Here is a 22,270-nt window from a genome sequence, read left to right on the forward strand (position 1 = left end):
CTGAGTTGAGGAGCAATAGCTAATAAAATCTTTGGATTTTTTGAGAAAACTTTTATTGGAGTGTAATATATATACAGAAAAGTATACAAATCCTAAATATAGAGATCAATAAATAATAAAAAGGTGTCTACATCTATGGAAACAACAGTCAGGTCAAGAAATAGTAGAAATAGTAATCAGGCCAAAGCAGGATGATTACTTGAGCCCAGGATTTCAAGACCAGCCTGGGCAACACAGGGAGACCCCATATCTACAAAAAATTATTTTTAAAAAAATCAGGCATGGTGGTTTATGCCTGTAATCTCAACACAGGCAGGCTGAGGTGGGAGGATTGCTTGAGCTCAGGAGTTTGAGACCACCCAGGGCAACAGAGTGAGACCCCATCTCCATAAAAAATAAATTTAAAACAATTAGCTGGTCATGGTGGCATGTGTCTGTAGTCTCAGCTACTTGGGAGGCTATGGCAGGAGGCTCACTTGAACCGAGGAACTAGAGGCTGCAGTAAGCTGTGTTCATGTCATTGCACTCCAGCCTGGGCAACAGAGTGAGATCTTGTTTCTAAATAAATAATAAAAAATCATAAAGACAAAAAGTGAAACTGACTGCTAGGGGTTAGCGGGAAGGGGCAATGGTAATTATTATTTAATGTGTGACCGAGTAAGACTGTCTTTAAAAAATAGAAGGAAAAAAAGCAATAGTAGTCTATGAAAAAACTAATTCAAGGTACAAATAGATCAGAATAGTAGTTGAGGTTTGGAATTATCATCTGGGAGGGGGACACAGCTACTGGGGAATGAAATATTCCATATCTGGATCTAGGTATTTAACATTCATTATGAATGTTTTCCATATGTTAAAATGCCATACATTTAAGATTTGTACATTTTCTCTGGTTATAATTCAATTAAAAAGTAAAAATTTTTTAAGAATTAGTTTTGCCTGCTTTTGAAGTATATGTAAACGGACTCATATTCGTGTGTTCTTTTGTGTCTTGCTCAACATTATGTTTGAGAAATTCATCCACGTGGTTGTATATAGTTGCAGTTCATTCATTTTTATTGCCAGTAGTGTTCAGTTCTATAAATATGCCACATTTTACTTATCCATTCTATTTTTGGGTTGTATCCAGTTTGGGGCTGATGTGAATTATATTCCTGTATATGTCTTTTGGTGCATCTGTGTGCATATTTCTGCAGGACATATATTTAGTAGTAAAATTGCTGTGTCTTAGGGTACGTGTGTGTTCAATTGAGTATACTAACAGCTTTCCAAAGTGATCATACCAATTTATTTATTTATTTTTTTTTACAGATGGGGTCTCACTCTGTCACCCAGGCTGGAGTACAGTGGCATGATCATAGCTTACTGCAACTTTGACCTCCTGGGTTCAAGCAGTCTGCGCACCTCAGCTGGGATCTCAGCTCACTGCAAGCTTGGCCTTTCGGGTTCAAATGATTCTTGTGCTTCAACCTCCCAAGTAGCTGGGATTACAGAAGTGCACCACCGCACCCAACTAATTTTTGTATTTTTAGTACAGATGAGGTTTCACCATGTTGGTCAGGCTAGTCTTGTACTTCTGACCTCAAGTATCCAGCTGCCTTGGCCTCCCAACGTGCTGGGATTACAGGCGTGTGCCACCCCACCTGGCCCCTCTGTTTATACATTTGAGTAAATTGCCGACATGATGCCACTTTACCTCTAAATAACTTTGTAAAAACAATGATATTCCCTTACATAATCACAATACAGTTATGAAAATCATGAAATTAACACTGACACAGTACTATAATCTGTGTACTTTATCTAAATTTCATTAGTTATCTCACTAATGTCCCCTGTAGCAAAATAAAAAAAGTTTTTTAAAACCTTGGTCCAGAATTCAATCCAGCATCCCATATTGCACTTAGTTGTCATGCGTCAAAAGAAAAACCAAGCCCAGTACAATGATGTGAGGTGGGAGGATTGCTTGAGGCCAGGAATTCAAGACCAGCCTGGGTGACAGGTGGAGACCCCATTTCTACAAAAAATAAAAACCGTTATTTTTTGGCCTTTAATCTCACAATCAACAGAGAAGACTTCTGAGACCCTTGGCCACCAAAATGTGTGGGGATTTTATCCCACTAAGCAATCCTTCAGTGGATTCTCCATCAGGGTGTCCCGTAATTCAGTTCAATTCTGAGCCATACATTGCATGCCTGTACCAAAATATCTCATGTACTCCAGAAATACATACACCTACTATGTACCCACAAGAACGATAAGTAAATGAATGAATGAGTGAATGAAAATTCTGACGCTATCCTTAGGCCACTGGTACTTCTGACTGGCTAGAAACCAGGGTTCCTGCGACCTCCTCCTTGGGTTTGACTAATTTGCTAAGACAGTTCACAGAATTCAGGGAAACACATTGCCAGTTTATTATAAAAGATATCATAGGCCGGGCGTGGCGGCTCATGCCTGTAGTCCTGTTACCGGTTGAGGGTGTCCAGGTTCTTGGCGTCTTGAACAAAGAATTGGACAAAATGCACAAACAAAGCAAGTAAAGAATGAAGCAACAAAAGCAGAGATTTCTCGAAAATGAAAGTATACTCCAGAGGGTGAAAGCAGGCCTGAGCATAGGGGGTCAAGAGCCTCGTTACAGAATTTTCTGGGGTTTAAATACCTTCTAGAGGTTTCCATTGGTTACTTGACGTACACCCTATGTAAATGAAGAGGATGAAGTAAAGTTACAAAATCATTTACTCACTGTACAGCCTATGTAAATGAGAAGGATATTTCCTGTCATAGATGAGATGTTTCCATTTGATTTAGTTCTCGGAAGTCCTTAGGTTCCCTGCCTCCAGGTCCTATTATCCTGCCTAATCCTAGCAGTTTGGGAGGCCAAGACAGGTGGATTACTGAGGCCAGGAGTTGGAGACCAGTCTGGCCAACGTGGTGAAATCCCTTCTCTACTAAAAATACAAAAATTTTTTGTACGTCCGCCATGAGACGGGCATGGTGGCTCACACCTGTAATCCCAGCTACTTGGAAGGCTGAGGTGGGAGAATCACTTGAACCTGGGATGTGGGGGTTGCAGTGAGCCAAGATCATGCCACTGCACTCCAGCCTAGGCAACAGATCAAGACTCTATCTTTTTTTTGAGACAGTTTCGCTCTTGTTGCCCAGGCTGGAGTGCAATGGTGCAATCTTGGCTCACCGCAACCTCTGCCTTCCAGGTTCAAGGCTTCCAAAGTGCTGGGATTACAGGCGTTTTGTGTGTTTTTTTTTTTTTTTTTTTTGAGACAGAGTCCTGCCCTGTCGCCCAGTCTGGGGTGCAATGGCGTGATGCAACCTCCACCTCCTGGGTTCAAGCGATTCTCCTGCCTCTGCCTCCTGAGTAGCTGAGATTACAGGTGCGCGCCACGATGCCCAGATAATTTTTGTATTTTTAGTAGAGATGGGTTTCACCATGTTGGCCAAGCTGGTCTCAAACTTCCGGGCTCAAGTGATATGCCCGCCTTGGCCTCCCAAAGTGCTGGGATTATAGGTGTCAGCCACCACGCCCTGCCTTTTTTTTTTTTTAAGACAGGGTCTTGGCCAGGCGTGGTGGCTCACACCTATAATCCCAGCACTTTGGGAGGCCAAGGCAGGCGAATCATGAGGTCAGGAGTTCGAGACCAGCCTGGCCAACATGGTGAAACCCCGTCTCTACTAAAAATACAAAAATTAGCTGGGCGTGGTGGCAGGCGCCTGTAATCCCAGCTACTCACGAGGCTGAGGCAGGAGAATTGCTTGAACTCATGAGGCAGAGGTTGCAGTGAGCTGAGATCGCACCACTGCACTCCAGCCAGGGCAACAGAGTGAGACTCCGTCTCAAAAAAAAAAAAAAAAAAAAAAGACAGGGTCTTTGCCAGGCACAGTGGCTTGGGCCTGTAATCCCAACACTTTGGGAGGCCAAGGTGGGTGGATTACATGAGGTCAGGAGTTCAAGGCCAGCCTAGCCACCATGGTGAAATCCCATCTGTAGAAAAAATACAAAAATTAGCCAGGCGTGGTGGTACGTACCTGTAATCCCAGCTACTTGGGAGGCAGAGGTTGCAGTGAGCCATGATCGTGCCTCTGCAATCCAGCCTGGGCAAGAGAGCAAGATTCTGTCTCAAAAAAAAAAAATCATAAGATACAGATGAACATCCAGATGAAGAGATGGATATGGCAAAGTACGGGGGGAGGGGTGTGGTGCTGCCACGACCTGTGGGTGTGCCTCCCTCCCAGCACCTCCAGGTGTTCAGCAGAAAGGAAATTCATCAAATCTTAGTGTTTAAATTTTTTTAAAAATATTTTTCAAATACATTTTTATTGTCTTTTTTTCCTTCCTCACATGCAGAACTTCTCCACATACCAGATTTCTTGCAGCTATAAAGTCACTTGATGTTGGCCGGGTACCATTTTATCCCTAAAACTCTGTTGACATCAAAATATGACAGTGTTATAGCCATAAAATATTTACATAGCACAGCATATTAAGCTTTAGACACTTGGCAATTAAACCACATAAAAAGAGGACAAGACCCCCATCCTACATGTTTGGAATCAGGTGTTCACCGGTCCCTATCTGGTGACTGTACACTGGTTCAAAGGGCAGCAGAGGCAAGAGGCAGTTACTTCAGAGGACATTGAACACTATGATCTGGAAGCACGTTATGATGTAACCCAGTGTCATGTACCACACACCTTTCTCCAAGGTGGTCTCATAATTCTAGAATGGAAGGTCCAGCTGATACAAAATGAAGACAGACAACACAAAATTTACTCTGTGGAGACATCCTACTCATACTATGCACATGCTGTGATTTTGAACATAACTCGTCCCAAAAACTTGTCACGATCATCCTGACTTTTAAGGTTGGCTGATCCATCAATCTTGCATTCAACTGTTACTTCTTTCCCAGTATCGTTAGGAGCAAAGCTGACCTGAACAGCAACCAATGGCTGTAGATACCCCACATGCAGTTTTTCCCCATAATATGGGAAATATTTTAAGTCTATAATTCCATTATGAGGATAAACTGCTACATTTGGTATATCTTCATTCTTCGAAACACAATCTATCCTTGGCACTCCTTCAGACTTTAATCCAATTATTCTGTTCATTTTCACAAGAATACAAGGGTTTCTTTGAGAATAGCCGAAATCAAGATCATTCATACCACGGCATGCTTGAAGTAACGAAATGGGAGATTGACAAGCAACATAAACTGGACCCTTCTGTTCAAAAAGTGCTCCATCAGGACAGACTGTGAGGTTTTTCTGTTCTTCTAAAGTATATGGTTTTAGAAACTTCTTAAGGTCTTCAGTGTACCCTGCATACGAAGTTAGATCAGACCTACTGAATGCATATTCCAATGCAGTGACTGGTTTTGGAAAAACCATCAGTCCTGGGTTAAGAATCTGGTCACGGTATTTTGGAACCTCATCGTTGAGTCTGAAGCATAACCCACATCGTGAATGAGAAGAGTGCAGCCAGGAACCCATAAAAAATTAGGTAGAAGAGCAAGATCAAACCCCAGCTCTTGGCGGTGCGCCACAGGAACTCTCCGGTGGTCGGGTTGTAGATGAAGAGCTTCCACTCGGCGAGGCTCTGGTTGAGGGACTCCTTCTTCATCGTGTGCGCGCGGACGACGAGGGGAGCGGCGGCCGCGGGGACGGAGGCGGCGAGGGCAGCGGGGACGGGGGCGGCGAGGGCAGCGGGGACGGAGGAGGCGAGGGCAGCGGAGGCGCGTCCCGGCTCCGGCGGCGCAGCCCGGCGACGGCAGGGGAGGGTGGGACGACCGAGAACACCTCCTCGTTACTGGGAGTACTCGAGCCGACTGCAGTGTTTAAATTTTTAATAGAGCTAAATTTCTTGCACCCTCAGCCCTTCCAGATGTTGGTGGGTGGGGCTTAAGTTCCAATCCTCTAATCCTCTAATCACCTGGACTTTCTGGTGACTAGCCCCATCCTGAAGCTATCTACGGGCCCCGCCCTAAGCAGGTTCATTAGCATAAACTCAGGACTTATCAAAGGAGCTAATTATGAATAACAGAAGATCCTCCTAGCACTCAGGAAATTTCTAGGATTTTAGGAGTTCTGGGGCAGAAAGAAACCAAATACCTTTTATACCACATCATGTCTCTTTAGGCTTCTTTACTGTAGAATAGTTCATCAGTCTTTTTCTTTCTTTTTTATTTATTTAAAAAGAATTTTTTTTTGAGACAGAGTTTCACTCTTGTTGCCCAGGCTGGAGTGCAATGGCTCAATCTCGGCTCTCTACAACCTCCACCTCCCAGGTTCAAGCGTTTCTCCTGCCTCAGCCTCCCGAGTAGCTGGGATTACAGGCATACACAACCACGCCTGGCTAATTTTGTATTTTTAGGAGAGACGGGGTTTCTCCTTGTTGGTCTGGTCTCGAACCCCCAACCTCAGGTGATCCGCCCGCCTCGGCCTCCCAAAGTACTGAGATTACAGGCGTGAGCCACTGCACTCGGCCTTTAATGTTTTAATTCTTTTAAAATTATTTTTATTCTAATAATTTTTCTGTAGATTATTTTGAATTTTCTTGACATACAAGTATGTCAATTCCATATAATGACAGTTTTTTCCTTCTGTTTTGAGCCTTATACATTTTGTTTTTTTCTTACCTTCTGTATTTGCTAGGACAAGGTAGAGATAGTGGTTATCATTGTCTTGCTCCCAACTTCAAGAGGAAAAACTTTGATATTTTACTACTATTTTACTATTTAATATGATATTTGCTATAGTTTTTCATTGAGTCACTTATCAGATTAGGAAAGATCTTTTCTATCCATTGACATTAGACTTTTTTTTTTTTTTTTTTTGGAGAGAAAATCTTGCTCCATCTCCCAGGCTGGAGTGCAGTGGCACAGCCTCGGCTCACAGCAACCTCTGCCTCCCAGGTTCAGGCAATTCTCCTTCCTCAGCCTCCTGAGTATCTAGGATTATGGACATGCACCACTACACCCAGCTAATTTTGTATTTTTAGTAGAGACAGGGTTTCACCATGTTGGTCAGCCTGGTCTAGAAATCCTGACCTCAGGTGATCTACCTGTCTCGGCCTCCCAAAGTTCTGGGATTACAGGCATGAACCACTACGCTTTTCTCTTTTTTTCTTTTTTCTCTTTTTTTTTTTTTTTTTGAGAGACAGGGTCTTACTCTGTCCCTCAAGCTGAAGTGCAGTAGTGTGATCACGGCTCACTGCAGCCTCAAACTCCTGGGTTCAAATGATCCTCCTGCATCAGCCAGTTTTTTTGTTTGTTTTGCGGGTTTTTTGTTTTGTTTTGTTTTGTTTGAGATTGAGTATTGCTCTGTTGCCCAGTCTGCAGTGCAGTGGAGCAATCTCAGCTCACTACAGCCTCCATCCCTCAGGTTCAAGGGATTCTCGTGCCTCAGCCACCTGAGTAGCTAGGATTACAGGCATGTGCCACCACACCTGGCTAATTTTTATATTTTTTGTAGAGATGGAGTTTCACCATGTTGGCCAGGCTAGTCTCAAACTCCTGGCCTCAAGTGATCCACCCTCCTCAGCCTCCCAAAGTGCTGGGATTACAGGGATGTGCCACCACATCTGGCTTGTTTTTGTATTTTTTAGTAGAGAAGGGGTTTTGCCATGGTCTCAAACTCCCTGCCTCAAGTGATTTGCCTGCCTCATCCTCCCAAAATGCCAGGATTACAGGCATGAGCCATGGCAATCAGCCTAGGTTCTTTCTTTCTTTTTTTTTTTTGAGATGGAGTCTGGCTCTGTTGCCCAGGCTGGAGTGCGGTAGCTCCGTCTCGGCTCACTACAACCCCTGCCTCCCGAGTTCAAGTGATTCTCCTGCTTCAGCCTCCCAAATAGCTGGGATTACAGGTGCCTGCCACCATGCCTGGCTAATTTTTGTATTTTAGTAGAAATGGGGTTTCACCACCAGGCTGGTCTCAAACTCCTGACCTCAGGCAGTCCACCCTCCTTGGCCTCCCGAAGTGCTGGGATTATAGGCATGAGCCACTGCACCTGGCACCTAGGTTCTTATTTTTAAGAGTAAATTGCAGCCGGGCACCGTGGCTCCTGCCTGTAATCCCAGCACTTTGGGAGGCTGAGGAGGGTGGATCACCTGAGATAAGAAATTCGAGACTAGCCTGGGCAACGTGGTGAAACCCAATCTCTACTAAAATACAAAAATTAGCCAGGCGTGGTGGTGCACACCTGTAATTCCAGCTACTTGGGAGGCTGAGGGAGGAGAATTGCTTGAACCCAGGAGGCAGAGGTTGCAGTGAGCCAAGATGGCGCCATTGCACTCCAGCCTGGGCAAACAACAGTGAAACTCCGTCTCAAAAAAAAAAAAAAAGACTAAATTGCAATTACCCCAAATGGTTTTTTTAAAACCTAACTACGATTTGGCCCAGGTTATGGTCAATTTTGGTAAATGTGTCTAGTTCCTTTTCCCAAACACTATGACTATGTAACAAATCACCCATAAAATTAATTGTTTTGAACAACAATCATCATTTTTACCTCTCACCGTTTCTATGTGTCAAGAATTCTAGAGCAGCTCAAGGGCAGTTCTGCTCAAGGTCTCTCATGAAATTGCAGACTGACTGGTTGGGGTTAGCTTATCTCAAAGGTTTCTTCACTTACATGCCTGGTGCCTATGCTGAGGAGACTCCAACAGCTAGGTACTGGAACACCTGCGGCTCCTCAGACATCCCCTTCTAACTCTGTGTGGTGTGTCCAGCAAGGCAGCTTGAAGGTAGTTAGATTTACGTAACAGCTCAGGGTTTCCCAAGGCAGGTACCCTAACAGAGAGGCAGGGAGAAGCTGTTTTATGACCTAATCTTTTATGACCTAATCTTAGAAGTCACATGGCATCATTCCACCAGATTTTTTTTGGTTGAGGTAGACACAAAAGGTTACTCAGGTTTAAGGGTAGGGAACATAGACCCATCTCTCATTGGAGAAATATCCAGTCACACTGTAAGGAGAACACGTGGAATCAGATACATACTGTCATGGCAATCTTAGAAAATGCAGCTTGCCGTAGCAGCATCCCACAAGTCCCACAAGCAGCCTGATAGTCATCTTTGCCATTAGACCCAGCTCTAGCTTTTGTGTTAGGTCACACATGTCCTTTTTTTCTCTGCCCCCAGCAGCATATTGCCCACTTCATTGCGTTTCATGCACAGCCACACTCTGGAGTCCCACAATCCTTGCTCTTAAAGACAAGGTTTTTCTTTGTTTCTTGTTTCTTTGGCTGGAGGGCAGCAGTGCAAACATGGCTCACTGCAGCCTCAACCTCTTGGGCACAAGTAATCCTCCCTCCTCAGCCCCACCAAGTAGCTGGGAGCACAGGCACGCGCCACCACCCCCAGCCGATTTTTGTATTTTTTGTAGAGATGGGGTTTCACCATGTTGCCTGTTGCAGGTGAGTGGCAACTATCTGAGACTGCTATCATGCGGGCGGCAAAGGAATTTACCAAGACAGTTGTTGGTAAAGAAAGGCAGATTTATTAGAGAAAGTATGAAAATACATTGCAACGGTGCAAGGGGCAGGTCAGCAAGAGAGGGGCAGACTGCAAGGAGACAAAGGCTTGCTGGGGATTTTATAGGATGGTACTGTCTGCTGACAAGGGCTTAGAGCAGTGCTGATAACACCAACGTTGCAATGAGCTAATTAATCTACAGGTGTCTTGTGATAAATTGGATATAGGAGGGCTACATATCCTGGACCATGAAGAAAGGCAGACCAACAGGTTATCTGCTTTCTCTTTCTGCTTTCTTTTGGTCTTGCCAGCCTGACTCTTTTTCCCTAGATAGGACTCCACATTGCCCAGGCTGGTCTCCAACTCCCGAGCTCAAGCAATCCTCCCCACTCAGCCTCCCAAATGCTGGTATTACAGGCAACAGCCCCCGTACCCGGCTTTTTTTTTTTTTAAGTCAGGGTCTCACTCTGTCACCCAGGCTGGAATGCAGTGGTGCAATCACTGCTTGCTGTAACTTTGACCTCCCCCAGCTCAGGCTGTCCTGCCTCAGCCTCCTGAGTAGCTGGGACCACAGGCACGCACCACCACATCTGGCTAATAGTTTATTTTTAGTAGAGACAAGGACTTACTATGTTGTCCAGGCTGGTCTCAAATTCCTGGGCTCAAGCGATCCTCCTGCCTCAGCCGCCCAAAGTGCTGAGGTTATAAGCCTGAGCCACCGCAGCTGGCCTAAAAGAAGTTCTTAAGCTTCTCTCAGATACCCTCCCTGGGATTTTGAAGGGTAAGGGAGAGCCCCTGTGGGCTTGAGAAATGAATGTCACACATCACCCAGGCTTGAGGTCCTGAGAAATGTCATTACACCCCTGGGACCTCTGAATGCATCTTCATGCCAAGGCATCAGGATGAAGTTCTTTCCTCAATGCCTTAAATATTTCTTCAGTGAGGACCTCCTGTCCCCAGGACTGTTTTAGGAGCTGGCAGCACAATGATAAAGAAAGAAGCCACTGTTCCAGAAGGAACTCACAGTGGAGAGAGGCGTCTATAAACTTGTGAGAGTATCATCCAGAGGCCATAGGGAACATTTAAAAATGTGAAGGCAAGAAGTATTGTGATCAGGTTTGCACTCCGGAAGTCCTCACTATGTGAAAGCAAAGCTAGCCTTGTCCCTTACTGCCGGGAGCAAGGCATAGTCAGCTGCAATTTGTGTACAAAATCTCCATTACAATGTATTAGACCTGAGGGGGATTTCTCTGATACGAGACCTCTTTGAGAGAGAATCATCCAGGCTAGGTTTGTTTCTGTATACACCAGGAAGCATACACTGAAGAAAACCTGCAACAGAATGGAGTTCGTTTTCCTCAGTTAGGAAAACAGGATGAGGAGTTGAAGTAGCAACAAACTCATCTTCTAATGAATTTACTTCAAATTCTTTTTCTTTTTTTTTTTTTTTTTTTTTTGAGACGGAGTTTCACTCTTGTTGCCCAGGCTGGAGTGCAATGGCGCAATCTCGGCTCACTGCAACCTCTGCCTCCCGGGTTCAAGTGATTCTCCTGCCTCAGCCTCCCGAGTAGCTGGGATTACAGGCATGTGCCACCAAGGCTGGATAATTTTTTGTATTTTTAGTAGAGATGGGGTTTCTCCATGTTGGTCAGGCTGGTCTCGAACTCCTGACCTCAGGTGATCCACCAGCCTCGGCCTCCCAAAGTGCTGGGATTACAGGTGTGAGCCACCATGCTCAGCCTACTTCAAATTCTTAATTAACTTTCACCATTCCAACAGACAAACTAATTTGATTCCCTAACTATGAGAAATGGCCATAGCAACATCCTTTGTAAAATGTTTAGAAAATGTCAGATTTCTTAAAAATGCAAGGAATAATCCAGTCCAGGTGGCACTTGCCTGTAATCTCACCTATCCTGGAGGCTGAAAAAGGAGAATCATTTGTGCAAGGCTCTTGTATGGATTCGAACCCTCAGAGGGCACCAACAAACACGAGGTGGTGTGGAGCAACACACTGTTTTAATGAGCACCTCAGTGCAGGTGGGCTGAGGCCTAATATGGCGTCAGCACCAAAAGAGGACGGGGCAGGGGTTTTATAGTCTCCTGTAATCAGGAAGTGTCTCAGTCTGAGGTAACTGCTACGCAGCACCCACACAGCCTCTCTCCCGTCTTCGGGGGTTCGTGTCTTTCGGCCAGCTCTCTTCCTGCTTCTGCTATCTTACTGACGCATGCTGCTGGCACAAGTGGCCTTGCGCCTTGGGACTGGGCCTGAAGAGGGAGGAGTTATTCATTCCCTTAAGCTTTCAGGGCCCGGAGAGAATCTTTCAATTTGAGGCCAGGAATTCGAGGCTGCAGTGAGCTATGATCATGCCTGTGAATAGCTACTGCACTCCCACCTGGGCAACATGGTAAGACCCTGTCTCCAAATAATAATAAATATAGGCCCGGCTCATGGCTCAAATCTGTAATCTCAGCACTTTGGGAGGCCAAAGTGGGTGGATCACTTGAGGTCAGGAGTTTGAGACCAGCCTGGTCAACATGGTGAAACCCTGTCTCTACTAAAAATACAAAAATTAGCTGGGTGTGGTGGTGCACACCTGTAATCCCAGCTACTCGGGAGGCTGAGGCAGGAGAATCGCTTGAACCTGGGAGGTGGAGGTTGCAGTGAGTCGAGATCACACCACTGCACTCCACCCTGGGCAACAGAGCGAGACTTTGTCTCAAAAGAAAAAAGAAAAGTCCTACAACAGTGCTTAAGCATTTTCACAGTAGGCCTTCCTGGAATCCAGAGCAACAGCAGTAATTCCTGGTAGGACTGTCTTTTCCTGCACCATAACCTACATTGGACATAGAAACTGTACACCTGATTGATTCAGGGAATCAAAGTAATAAAACTGCCAGTGACAATGCAGCCAAGTGATTAGAAGAAAGCTGGTTGAAAATTTAAACACCCTTTTTACTCATTAATCTCCAACCACTGAAGACAAACAAAAAGCAAAATTAACATGATTGTAAACTAAGCACTTGTGTCCTGTGGCTAGTGTTTTGGCCTGCTGAGAGAGAATGAGTTGATCAAAGCAAGTGAGTCCGCTAAGAACTGTGGGACCAGTGCTGCTTCGGGGAGTGCACAGCTAGGAACCATTAACCAGCATGTTTCAGGAATAGGTGAATACCGTAATTAATCTCGGCTTCAATTTGGAGGGAAGCAGAAAACCTACCTCCCTGTCCACTGAGTTTATACATTAATCCCCTGAGTTCTGGGGGAAAGTTTTAACATTGGAATAAAGACTTTTTCTGCCCTTCCTAATGTGTGGAGAACAAACGTTTGAGAAGGATGACTGAGTTCCTTAACTTCAGTAGTTAAGATGCCTCCTAGGAAAGCTGTGGATCGCTACCTTGTTTGGTTTGACGCATCTAAGCTCACAGAGCAAAGGCTCTTCCAATGAAGTTAGTGGGTTTTTTAATGCAAGAAAACAGGGAGCCTCACCTTACAAACATAAATCATGAAAATCCAGAGACTTGGAAGTTTTTCTGAGGGCAAACTCATCTAATCAATGGGCTCTTGAATTACTTAAAGCATATCCAGGACTTTACCGTTCTAGGTACAGGAAAATGAATAGATACCTGACTTTGCACCAAACTTTAAGAAAAAAAAAAAGCTACAAGTTGTACAAACATCTGCACCAGCCACGGAAATTTCATATTAGAAACACAGGAAGCTGGGCGTGGTGGCTCACACGCCTGTAATCCCAGCACTCTGGGAGGCCAAGGCAGGCGGATCACGAGGTCAGGAGATCGAGACCATCCAGGCCAACATAGTGAAACACTGTCTCTACTAAAAATACAAAAATTAGCTGGGCATGGTGATGCACACCTGTAGTCCCAGCTACTCGGGAGGCTGAGGCAGGAGAATTGCTTGAACCTGGGAGGCAGAAGTTGCAGTGAGCCGAGATCGCACCACTGCACTCCAGCCTGGGGACAGTGAGACTCCGACTCAAAAAAAAAAAAAAAAAACCCACAAAAAAACCCAGGAATTTATGCTAAATTAAACCATGCTGAATGAACTGGGTAACAAAATAAAAACCAAACCACGCAAGGGAATCTTTCCTCGGAGACAACAAATTATCAACGTAAACCAGAGATGCTACAAGGTGCCCTCTGACATCCATAACATGGAGTGGTAGAGGCCTGTCAGATCCCAGGGCCTGGGTTCGGCCTATGCTGAAGTCCGAGGGGAGTGGGTGGATGAGCAGAAAGAATACTCAGGGGGCAGTAGGCAGGTGAGAGATGATTTTATTCAGCGGCGGCTCTCATCAGCAGCTTTCTCACACTGTCTCTCTCACACTGTCCACCCTGTCTCAGCTACTTGAGCTGGCAGCTCCCACACACAGGTATGACCAGCTCTCCTTTGCCTTCAGGGTCAGCGGCTTAACTTGTTCTCTCCCTGGGCACGAGCAAGCTGAGCTATGTCCTGGCTCCCTCCTATCTGTCTACAAGACAGACAGCTTTGGCTCTCTCTTTCTCTCTCTCTCTCTTTCTCGGCCACGTCAAGCCATGTTGAGCCAAACTGGGCCCCAAAGCCCCTGTACAGCATTAGCAGGGCAATTACACCTTTTACAGACAATAGTAGCTCAGAGCCAAGTACGAACTTACACAAAGGTCATATAACAAGTGGAGGGCGTGCCAAACTTGCTGGGTCATCCAAGGCCTATCCTTGACCAAAGCACATCCATATACCTTACCGTCCACCCCCTAGGCCAAGAGAGACATAGGGTTTGGGCACACAGGCCCGGTACACAGGCTTGACACACATAAGCTTTGGGCACAGAGGCCCAATATACATACACAGGCTTGACACATCAGACTGTCATACAGGCCTTAGACAGAGGCTCTGGTCACACAGGCCTATTACATACATAAGCTTCAATAAATTGCCTATCATCACAGATTACCATAGCTGTCACCCTCTTGGAGATTATTCACACTGCCCTGAGTTTAGCTCATTAGCTACTCTGTCTACACCTGGTATCAAACCATATGGTGTTAGTACTAGGCTGGACTGCACCAGGAGTCCAGGCAGCAATAGCACCCCAGCTAGACTTAGCATTGTACCATGCCTATTAGGAATGGGAGGATGCCCTTACTAATGGTGAAGGCTCAGGATCAAGGAGTGCCTCAGGCCCCATGACCTTATCTTGCATCAGGACTACAGGTCCTAAGGCTTCTTGTAACTCTGCTGCTAAGGGACTTGTACTCAGCATATTCTGCTGTTCTAAGTAGGCAGCCCACTTCACTAAAGTAGATGTCTGTGTTGTCCCAGTCCAGGGGATCATTACCTATGAACACACCCATCCTGCTACCAGGTAAGTTGTCTGCACGACAACTGTAACCCATCCTGCTATGTTCTTATGAGCCTGAAGGGCAGCATATGCAGTCACTAACTGCTTCTTTATTAATGAACACCGGAGCTCAGCTAACAGCTAACAGCCCACTGGCGCTTCCAAGTGCTCCATGCATTGCTATAGACCCTATCCAAAACTATCTGTGGTTACATGTATATCTACATGAATGTGGTTACATGAATGGGCACCCTTGGTTTACTACCCAGAAAAGCTGTCTCAGCCTCATTATCCCATTCTCAGGCAAGAAGGGTGCTACTGCTTCTAAACCTGCAAGAAAATCAGAGGTTGGCATAACATTATTGATAGAATCATGACGCATGGTGGGGCTATACATATAGCCCTGCGGCAACACTGTAAAAGTCCATTGTTGCCCTCCCATGAAGGCATACTGTTCCTGGCTCTCGGTGGACTGTCCCAGTTCCATTGTCAAGTGGTCCATCAAGTCCGTGACAGACAGCACAGCTACTAACCTGTGCAAAACATCCACCCCAGAATGTCTTCGGGTATGGAACAGACATACACAGTGCCTAAGCAGAGAGCCAAGCGGCTGAAGCCAAGATGTAGAGATACAGGTTTCACTTTCACTGACCAGTCTTCATAGCCGTCAATAAATGTGGCTCTGCCCAGAAACTTACCCAGGTTCAGGGACCAGTGGATTGCCAAGTCCACAGGTAGCTCTGGTTGTCCAGTAACCCCTCAGCCATGCATCTTGGCCAGTCTCTTATCAAACAGAAAAGGCTTTACACTTCTGCCTGACTGCAGCAGGTACTCTCTAAACTGGAACGCTCAGGCAGGAGCGGGTTGCACATTGGGAAGAAGGAATGTCCTTCTCCTGAATGATTTGCACTAAATCTGTATATGACTGCCGACATTACTTGCCTCACCCCCACAACTCAGCAGGGGCACAGACACCACAGGAAATGTGCTTCACCACGGTAGTGGGGTGTGTCTCTCGGCCCACTCTTGGGGCCTAACAGCTGCTCATGCCATATTTCCTGGCAGACCACAGGGCTAGCCTGCCACAGAGGTTCTTCCTCCTTCCTGCATCCCACATGGACTGGGCATGCACTTCCTGCCGCACAGTCACAAATGCCCATCTGACTCTGCCGGTAAAGGCATGCTTCTTCTCAGTGCTGTGTAATTCCAGGTGCTTCAGCGCCTTCTCCACACTTGCAGGGGACCCATCCATTGCCTCCCATGTTTCCACTGGGGCTCATCCAAGCACCACTGCTGCCACCCAGTTCCACAGCCCATGCCACGGCCACATAGCCAACTCAGGAGCCCTCAGGGGCTGAAGACCCACTCATCTCATCCCATACTTGTCAATTTTCAGATCCTGGGGTCCGGGCCCAGCCCATACTGAAGTCCGAGGGGAATGGATGGATGAGCAGAAATACTCAGGGGGCCGTAGGCAGGTGAGAGATTATTTTATTCAGCAGTAGCTGTCATCGACAGCTTTCTCACGCTGTCTCTCTCACACTGTCCACCCTGTCTCAGCTGCTTGAGTTGGCAGCTTCCACACACAGCTGTGTGGCCGGCTCTCCTTTGCCTTCAGGGCAACAGCTTGTTCTCTCTCTCGGCACAAGCAAGCAGAGCTGTATCCTGGCTCCCTCCTGTCTGTCTGCAAGACGGACACCTTTGGCTGTCTCTCTCTTTCTCTGGGCCCCAGAGCACCTGCCATGTCAAGCCATGTTGAGCCAAGCCGAGCCCTAAGGGCTCCTATACAGCATTAGCAGGGCAATTATATCTTTTACAGACAACAGTGGCTCAGAGCTAAGTATGAATTTACACAAACAGGTTATACAATAAGTGGAGGTGTGTGCCTGCACACCAAACTCAACTGAGTCAAGTGGGCCGGACGTCTGCCTCAGCCTATCCTTGACCAAAGAACATTTATATACCTTACACTCTACCCCCCTGTCACAGGGGGCTAAAAGAAAAGTTTGTTGACAGTCCTTTTAGGAATTGCAACACTTGGATGTCCTTTCCTCTTCTGACACCCTTAGTGGTGGTTCTGAGGTCTCAACGAGGCACAAATTAGCCATCTAAGTATAAAACCTTAAAGGAGAGAGTCCTTTTCCTAGCAATCCTACTCACATTAGAAACATGGCTTCAGCTATCACTCTACCTTCCCCATTCTACTCTGCTCCTCCCTCACAATTTTATAAGAATTCTACTACATTTCTGAGATTTCACTACTGCCAGCTTTATTCTTTTTTATTTTATCTGGATCTGATGTCCTACCATTAAAATTTTTATTGGGAGTCCAGGTGCAGTGGCTCATGGCTGTAATCCCAGCACTTTGGGAGGCTGAGGCAGGTGGATCACTTGAGCCCAAGAGTTAGAGACCAGCATGGGCAACATAGGGAGATCTCATCTCTACAAAAACTAAAAAACTAAAAATAAATAAAAAAAATTAGCCTGGCATGGTTGCACATGTGTGGTCCCAGCTACCCTTGGAGGCTGAGGTGGGAGGATTACTTGAGCCACGGAGGCAGAGGTTGCAGTAAGCCATAATCACACCACTGCACTCCAGGAAGACCTTGTCTCAAAAAGAAAAATTGGTTGGGGATCCACATCAATTTCTGACAACATCCAGCTCAGCTCCTATTTGTTCAAAATCGACCAAGTAAGACCAGACATGAATCCTCTTGGAGCCCATTTAACAATATGTATTTTTCATTTTATTTGGGTTGTTCAAAGTGAGTAGGGATTCCCTTCATGGTTGCCACCCATTGTGCAACAGGGCTTGGGATGAATTTCACATGGTCATTCAGCTTGAGTTAAGGAACAGGCTTTAATGGAGAAACATACAAGCCAAGGGTCACCAAGAGAGGACATAGTCGCAGACTCTCCCATCATCCCAGAGGGTTGCTAAGGCTATGTGCTATATGTGTTCCAATGGAAGGATGTGTGCCCCCTGAGATGACACCCTCTTAAAATGTGTCAGAATGTGGACACAGAGACTATTTAGAGCCAGCGTGGCTGAGTTTAGCTGCCAGCTGTTTAGTTGTCTGGGAAAGCCAGCAACCCAGCAGAAAGCCATCCTGGGAGAAGCTAAGTGCAGGCTCCCTCCTGTTGATAGAAGGGGAGACCTTAGCCCCACCTGGCACAACATGCAGGCAACCCTAGCACTAGCTCCCAAGATTGTTTTTGGAGGATCCTACTGTCAAGTAGGATCACCACGCTTTTCTATTCATTCTTTAAAAAGTGCTCACAGCCCACCATATTGACCTGCTAATGACCAGTGCAAGCAATACCATGCTACAATAATCTGCCGAAAAAAAGAAATTCTCCAAGTCAATGAAAGAGTCCAGAGATGAAAAAGTTTCAATGGAGTAATTGTATAACATTCAGACACATCAGAATATTTATTAAGTTAGTGAGGGAGAAGGCAAGGTAGACATAGTCTATCAGTTGGGGCAAAAGATGGAGAAATGATGAGATAAAGGCAGATATAAGAGAGAAAATAATAGTTGAATTCATTCAATGAATATTTATTGAGCAGCTGTGCTAAGTTCTGAGGATGACCCAGTGTACAAGACTGAGATGGTCCCTGTCCTACAGACAAGTAAACAACCCAGTAGATAGTTACAAAAGTTAAGATAATTTTTTTTTTTTTTTGAGATGCAGTTTCACTCTTGTTGCCCAAGCTGGAGTACAATGGCATGATCTCGGTTCACTGCAACCTCTGCGTCCCCGGTTCAAGCAATTCTTCTGCCTCAGCCTCCCAAGTAGCTGGGATTACAGGCATGAGCCACCATGCCTGGCTAATTTTGTATTTTTAGTAGAGATGAGGTTTTACCATGTTGATCAGGCTGGTCTCGAACTCCTGTCCTCAGGTGATCCCCCTACCTTGGCCTCCCAAAGTGCTGGGATTACAGGTGTGAACCACCACGCCCAGCCAAGATAATAATTTTTAAAGATTTTTCTCCATGAATTACTTGTACTAACATTTTAACATTCTTCCATGTTGCAATTCTGTTTATCTGAATGAACTTTTAAAAAATAAAAGAGCCAATGAATGGAATAGAAGCAGTAATACTTTTTATAGCAGAACAACAACAAAAAAGAATGTATCTAATCTTTAAAAAAATACTCAGAAAAAAAGAATGTTTAGCTTGTTCTGTACACATTTCTAGGAAAAAGGCCTAATTTGGAGGAATTTTTAAACTTCAAAAATAAGAATTTCACTGGGCACACTGGCTAATGCCTGTAACCCCAGCATTTCAGGAGGCTGAGGTGGGAGAATCACTTGAGGCCAGGAATTCAAAACTAGCCTGGGCAGCATGGCAAGACCGGTCCCTACTAAAAATGAAAAAAAAAAAAATTAACCAGGCATGGTGGTGTGCACCTATAGTCTTAGCTACTCTGGAGGCTGAGTCAGGAGAATCTGAGGCAAGAAGATCGCTTGAGTCCCAGTTGTTAAGGCTGCAGTGAGCCATGATCATGCCACTGCACTCCAGCCTGGCCAGCAAAGCAAGACCCTGTCTCAAAAAAGGAAGAATCTTTACAATGTCTAAGATACAACAGCTAATAATAAAACATCTATCAAGCTCTGAAGAAAATGTTATCATGTAGTAGAAGGGCATTTTCAAATAAGCCAGAAGAAAATGTATCCCTTTTCTGAATAAGCTGCCATTCTAGAGCAGGAAATGATCAAAAGAAAAAATTCAAGAATAGGAAAGTTGTAGCTGGAAGAGATTGGCAGTGAGCACTGAAAACAGTTCATCTGTAGAGATGAGTGTTGATAATTAGTTATATATACATATACATAGTTATACCAATAGGAAAATGGACAAAATATATGAATAGGCAATCCACAGAGTAAGAAATATAAATGGCTGGTAAAATATGAAAGATATTCACCACTGGTAAAATATGAAAGATGCTCACCTTTCACCACTGATGAGGGATCTGCAAGTTAAAATCACAAAGAAATAGCATTCTCCAACCTGTCAGATTGATTTTTTAAATTTTTAAAAACTACTGGCTGGGCTCCGTGGCTCACACCTGTAATCCCAACACTTTGGGAGACTGAGGCAAGCAGATCACCTGAGGTCAGGAGTTCAAGACCAACCTGGCTAACATGGAGAAACCCCATTTCTACTAAAAATACAAAAATTAGCTGGGCATGGTGGCAGGCGCCTGTAATCCCAGCTACTTGGGAGGCTGAGGTGGAAGAATCGCTTGAACCTGGAAGGTGGAGGTTGCAGTGAGCCAAGATCATGCCACTACACTCCAGCCTGGGCGACAGAGTGAGACTCTACCTCAAAGAAAAAAAAAAATTAATAGAACCAGCCGCTTGACAGAGGCATTTATTGGCCAAAGTTGGGACGATTTTAGCATCAAAAGAACAATGCCTGTAACAAATTGAAACACACTGACTATATAAAAATCCATGAGTCGGGCCAGGTGCGATGACTCACACCTGTAATCCCCCAGCACTTTGGGAGGCAGAGGTGGGCAGATCACTTGAGGTCAGGAGTTTGAGACCAGTGTGGCCAATATGGCAAAAACCTATCTCTACTAAAAATACAAACTTAGCCAGGCATGTTGACACATGCCTGTACTCCCAGCTACTCAGGAGACTGAGGAGGGAGAATCACTTGAACCTGGGAGGCGGAGGTTGCAGTGAGCCGAGATTGTGCCATTGCACTCCAGCCTGGGCAACAGAGCTAGACTCTGTCTCAAATAAATAAATAAATATCCCTGTGTCCATAGAATACTTAAAAATTAAAAAAAGAGGAGGAGGAGTAAAACAAGCAAGCAAATAAACGAAAACTTTTCTACAGGTGGCCATTCCACCAAGTTCTTATCTGAAAGGGGAAAGAATTAGGTTATTTGCAGTAACCTATTGCGGAGTAGCCTAATAGCGCAGTTGATGAGCAAGAGCCCTTCTTTCCTGAAAAAGGCTAGCTATCAATGTAGACAGAATTGAAAAAAAAAAAAACACAATTTGCAATCCCTAGGGAAATAATTAATTAAGCCACGAATTGTCAATGGATGCTGAAACAATTAGGTGAAAGGTTGGGGAGCTGTATATTTATCTGGTGCTAAAGTTATCACCCTGCAGTTTACTAAGGAGTTCTAAGATGATTGTCACCACACAGACCCAGTGATCAATCTTAATATCATTAATAATGGGATAAACAGAGCTTCACTATGTGCCTTCCAGTATGATGCAGTATTTAGCCTGAATCTAATCAAGCCTTTAGATCCAACTTCCATTAATAGAAAATACTGAGGTTATTGTTAAATGACACCACAAGGAAACAACCAGAAACATCTAGAAGTTGGAACATTCTAAGGAAATACTAGTCTACTCTCTACAAATCAATGTCACAGGAAAAATAAAAAGCTAGGGAGAAAGTCTGTTCTAGATTAAAATATATTTCAGGATGTTGATAATGGAGGAGGCTATGCATGTCTTGGGGGAGGCAGCACATGGGAAATACTTGTTTTTTTCTCAATTTTGCTATGAACCTAAAACTGCTCTTAAAAAATAAAGCCCCTTTTTTTTTTTTTTTTTTCTGAGACAGTCTCGCTCTGTCGCCCAGGCTGGAGTGCAGTGGTACAGTGGTGCGATCTCAGCTCACTGCAACCTCCACCTCTCGAGCTCAAGCAATTCTCCTGCCTCAGCCTCCCAAGTAGCTGGGATTACAGGCACCTGCCACCACGCCCAGCTAATTAAAAAATACTTTTAAGGAAAAAAAAGCCATTTCAGAGACCCAACAACCAAATGCAATCATACTTCTTGATTGGATCACACTATAAACAAGCTTGGTGCAAAAGATATTTGGGCAACAAGTGGAAATACTTGAGTGTATTAATATTATTATGGTTGTACAGGAAAGTGTTCTCATTAGATATGCATATCAAAATATTTAGGAGTAAAATTTTATGTGTTTACTTAAAAAGATTTCACTGAAAAATGTGTGAAACATGACCAAATGCTAAAAAAATTCTACATGATGGGTATATGGTGTTAATTATATTATTCTCTCTACTTTTTCTGTATATTTATAGTTTTTTTATAAGCATAAAAACTTTTTTTTTAAATAGAGTTGTGGTTTTGCAGTTGTCCAGGCTGGTCTCAACTCCTGAGCTTAAGGGATCCTCCTGCCTTAGTCTCCTAAAGTACTGGGATTGCAACCATAAGCCACCACAACCAGCCAAATTAAAAAGTTGTTTTTTGGGTTTTTTTGTTTGTTTGTTTTTGAGACGAAGTTTCACTCTTGTTGCCCTGGCTGGAATGCGATGGCGAGATCTCGGCTCACCGCAACCTCCGCCTCCTGGGTTCAAGCCATTCTCCAGCCTCGGCCTCCAGAGTAGCTGAGATTACAGGCACCCACCACCACACCCAGCTAATTTTT

The 22,270-nt window shown here is 44.8% G+C and overlaps 1 pseudogene, besides 2 other annotated features; it reads right to left on the reverse strand.

Moving 5' to 3' along the window:
- ATP1B3P1 (ATPase Na+/K+ transporting subunit beta 3 pseudogene 1) lies at positions 4,313–5,848 on the reverse strand (annotated as a pseudogene).
- Positions 5,853–6,051: a silencer, noted in NCBI's record as "fragment chr2:60963065-60963263 (GRCh37/hg19 assembly coordinates)". NCBI's record gives its function as "represses an EF-1alpha promoter that drives an FKBP-Casp9 reporter gene in an ReSE screen in HepG2 liver carcinoma cells {active_cell/tissue: HepG2}" and the evidence as "EXISTENCE:reporter gene assay evidence [ECO:0000049][PMID:32094911]".
- Positions 12,085–13,048: an enhancer, noted in NCBI's record as "OCT4-NANOG-H3K4me1 hESC enhancer chr2:60969297-60970260 (GRCh37/hg19 assembly coordinates)". NCBI's record gives its function as "activates a minimal SCP1, AML or CMV promoter by ChIP-STARR-seq in naive H9 embryonic stem cells {active_cell/tissue: H9 hESC(naive)}" and the evidence as "EXISTENCE:reporter gene assay evidence [ECO:0000049][PMID:30033119]".

The sequence above is a fragment of the Homo sapiens genome, chromosome 2 (genome assembly GCF_000001405.40).
Source record: "Homo sapiens chromosome 2, GRCh38.p14 Primary Assembly".
Lineage (NCBI taxonomy): Eukaryota > Metazoa > Chordata > Mammalia > Primates > Hominidae > Homo > Homo sapiens.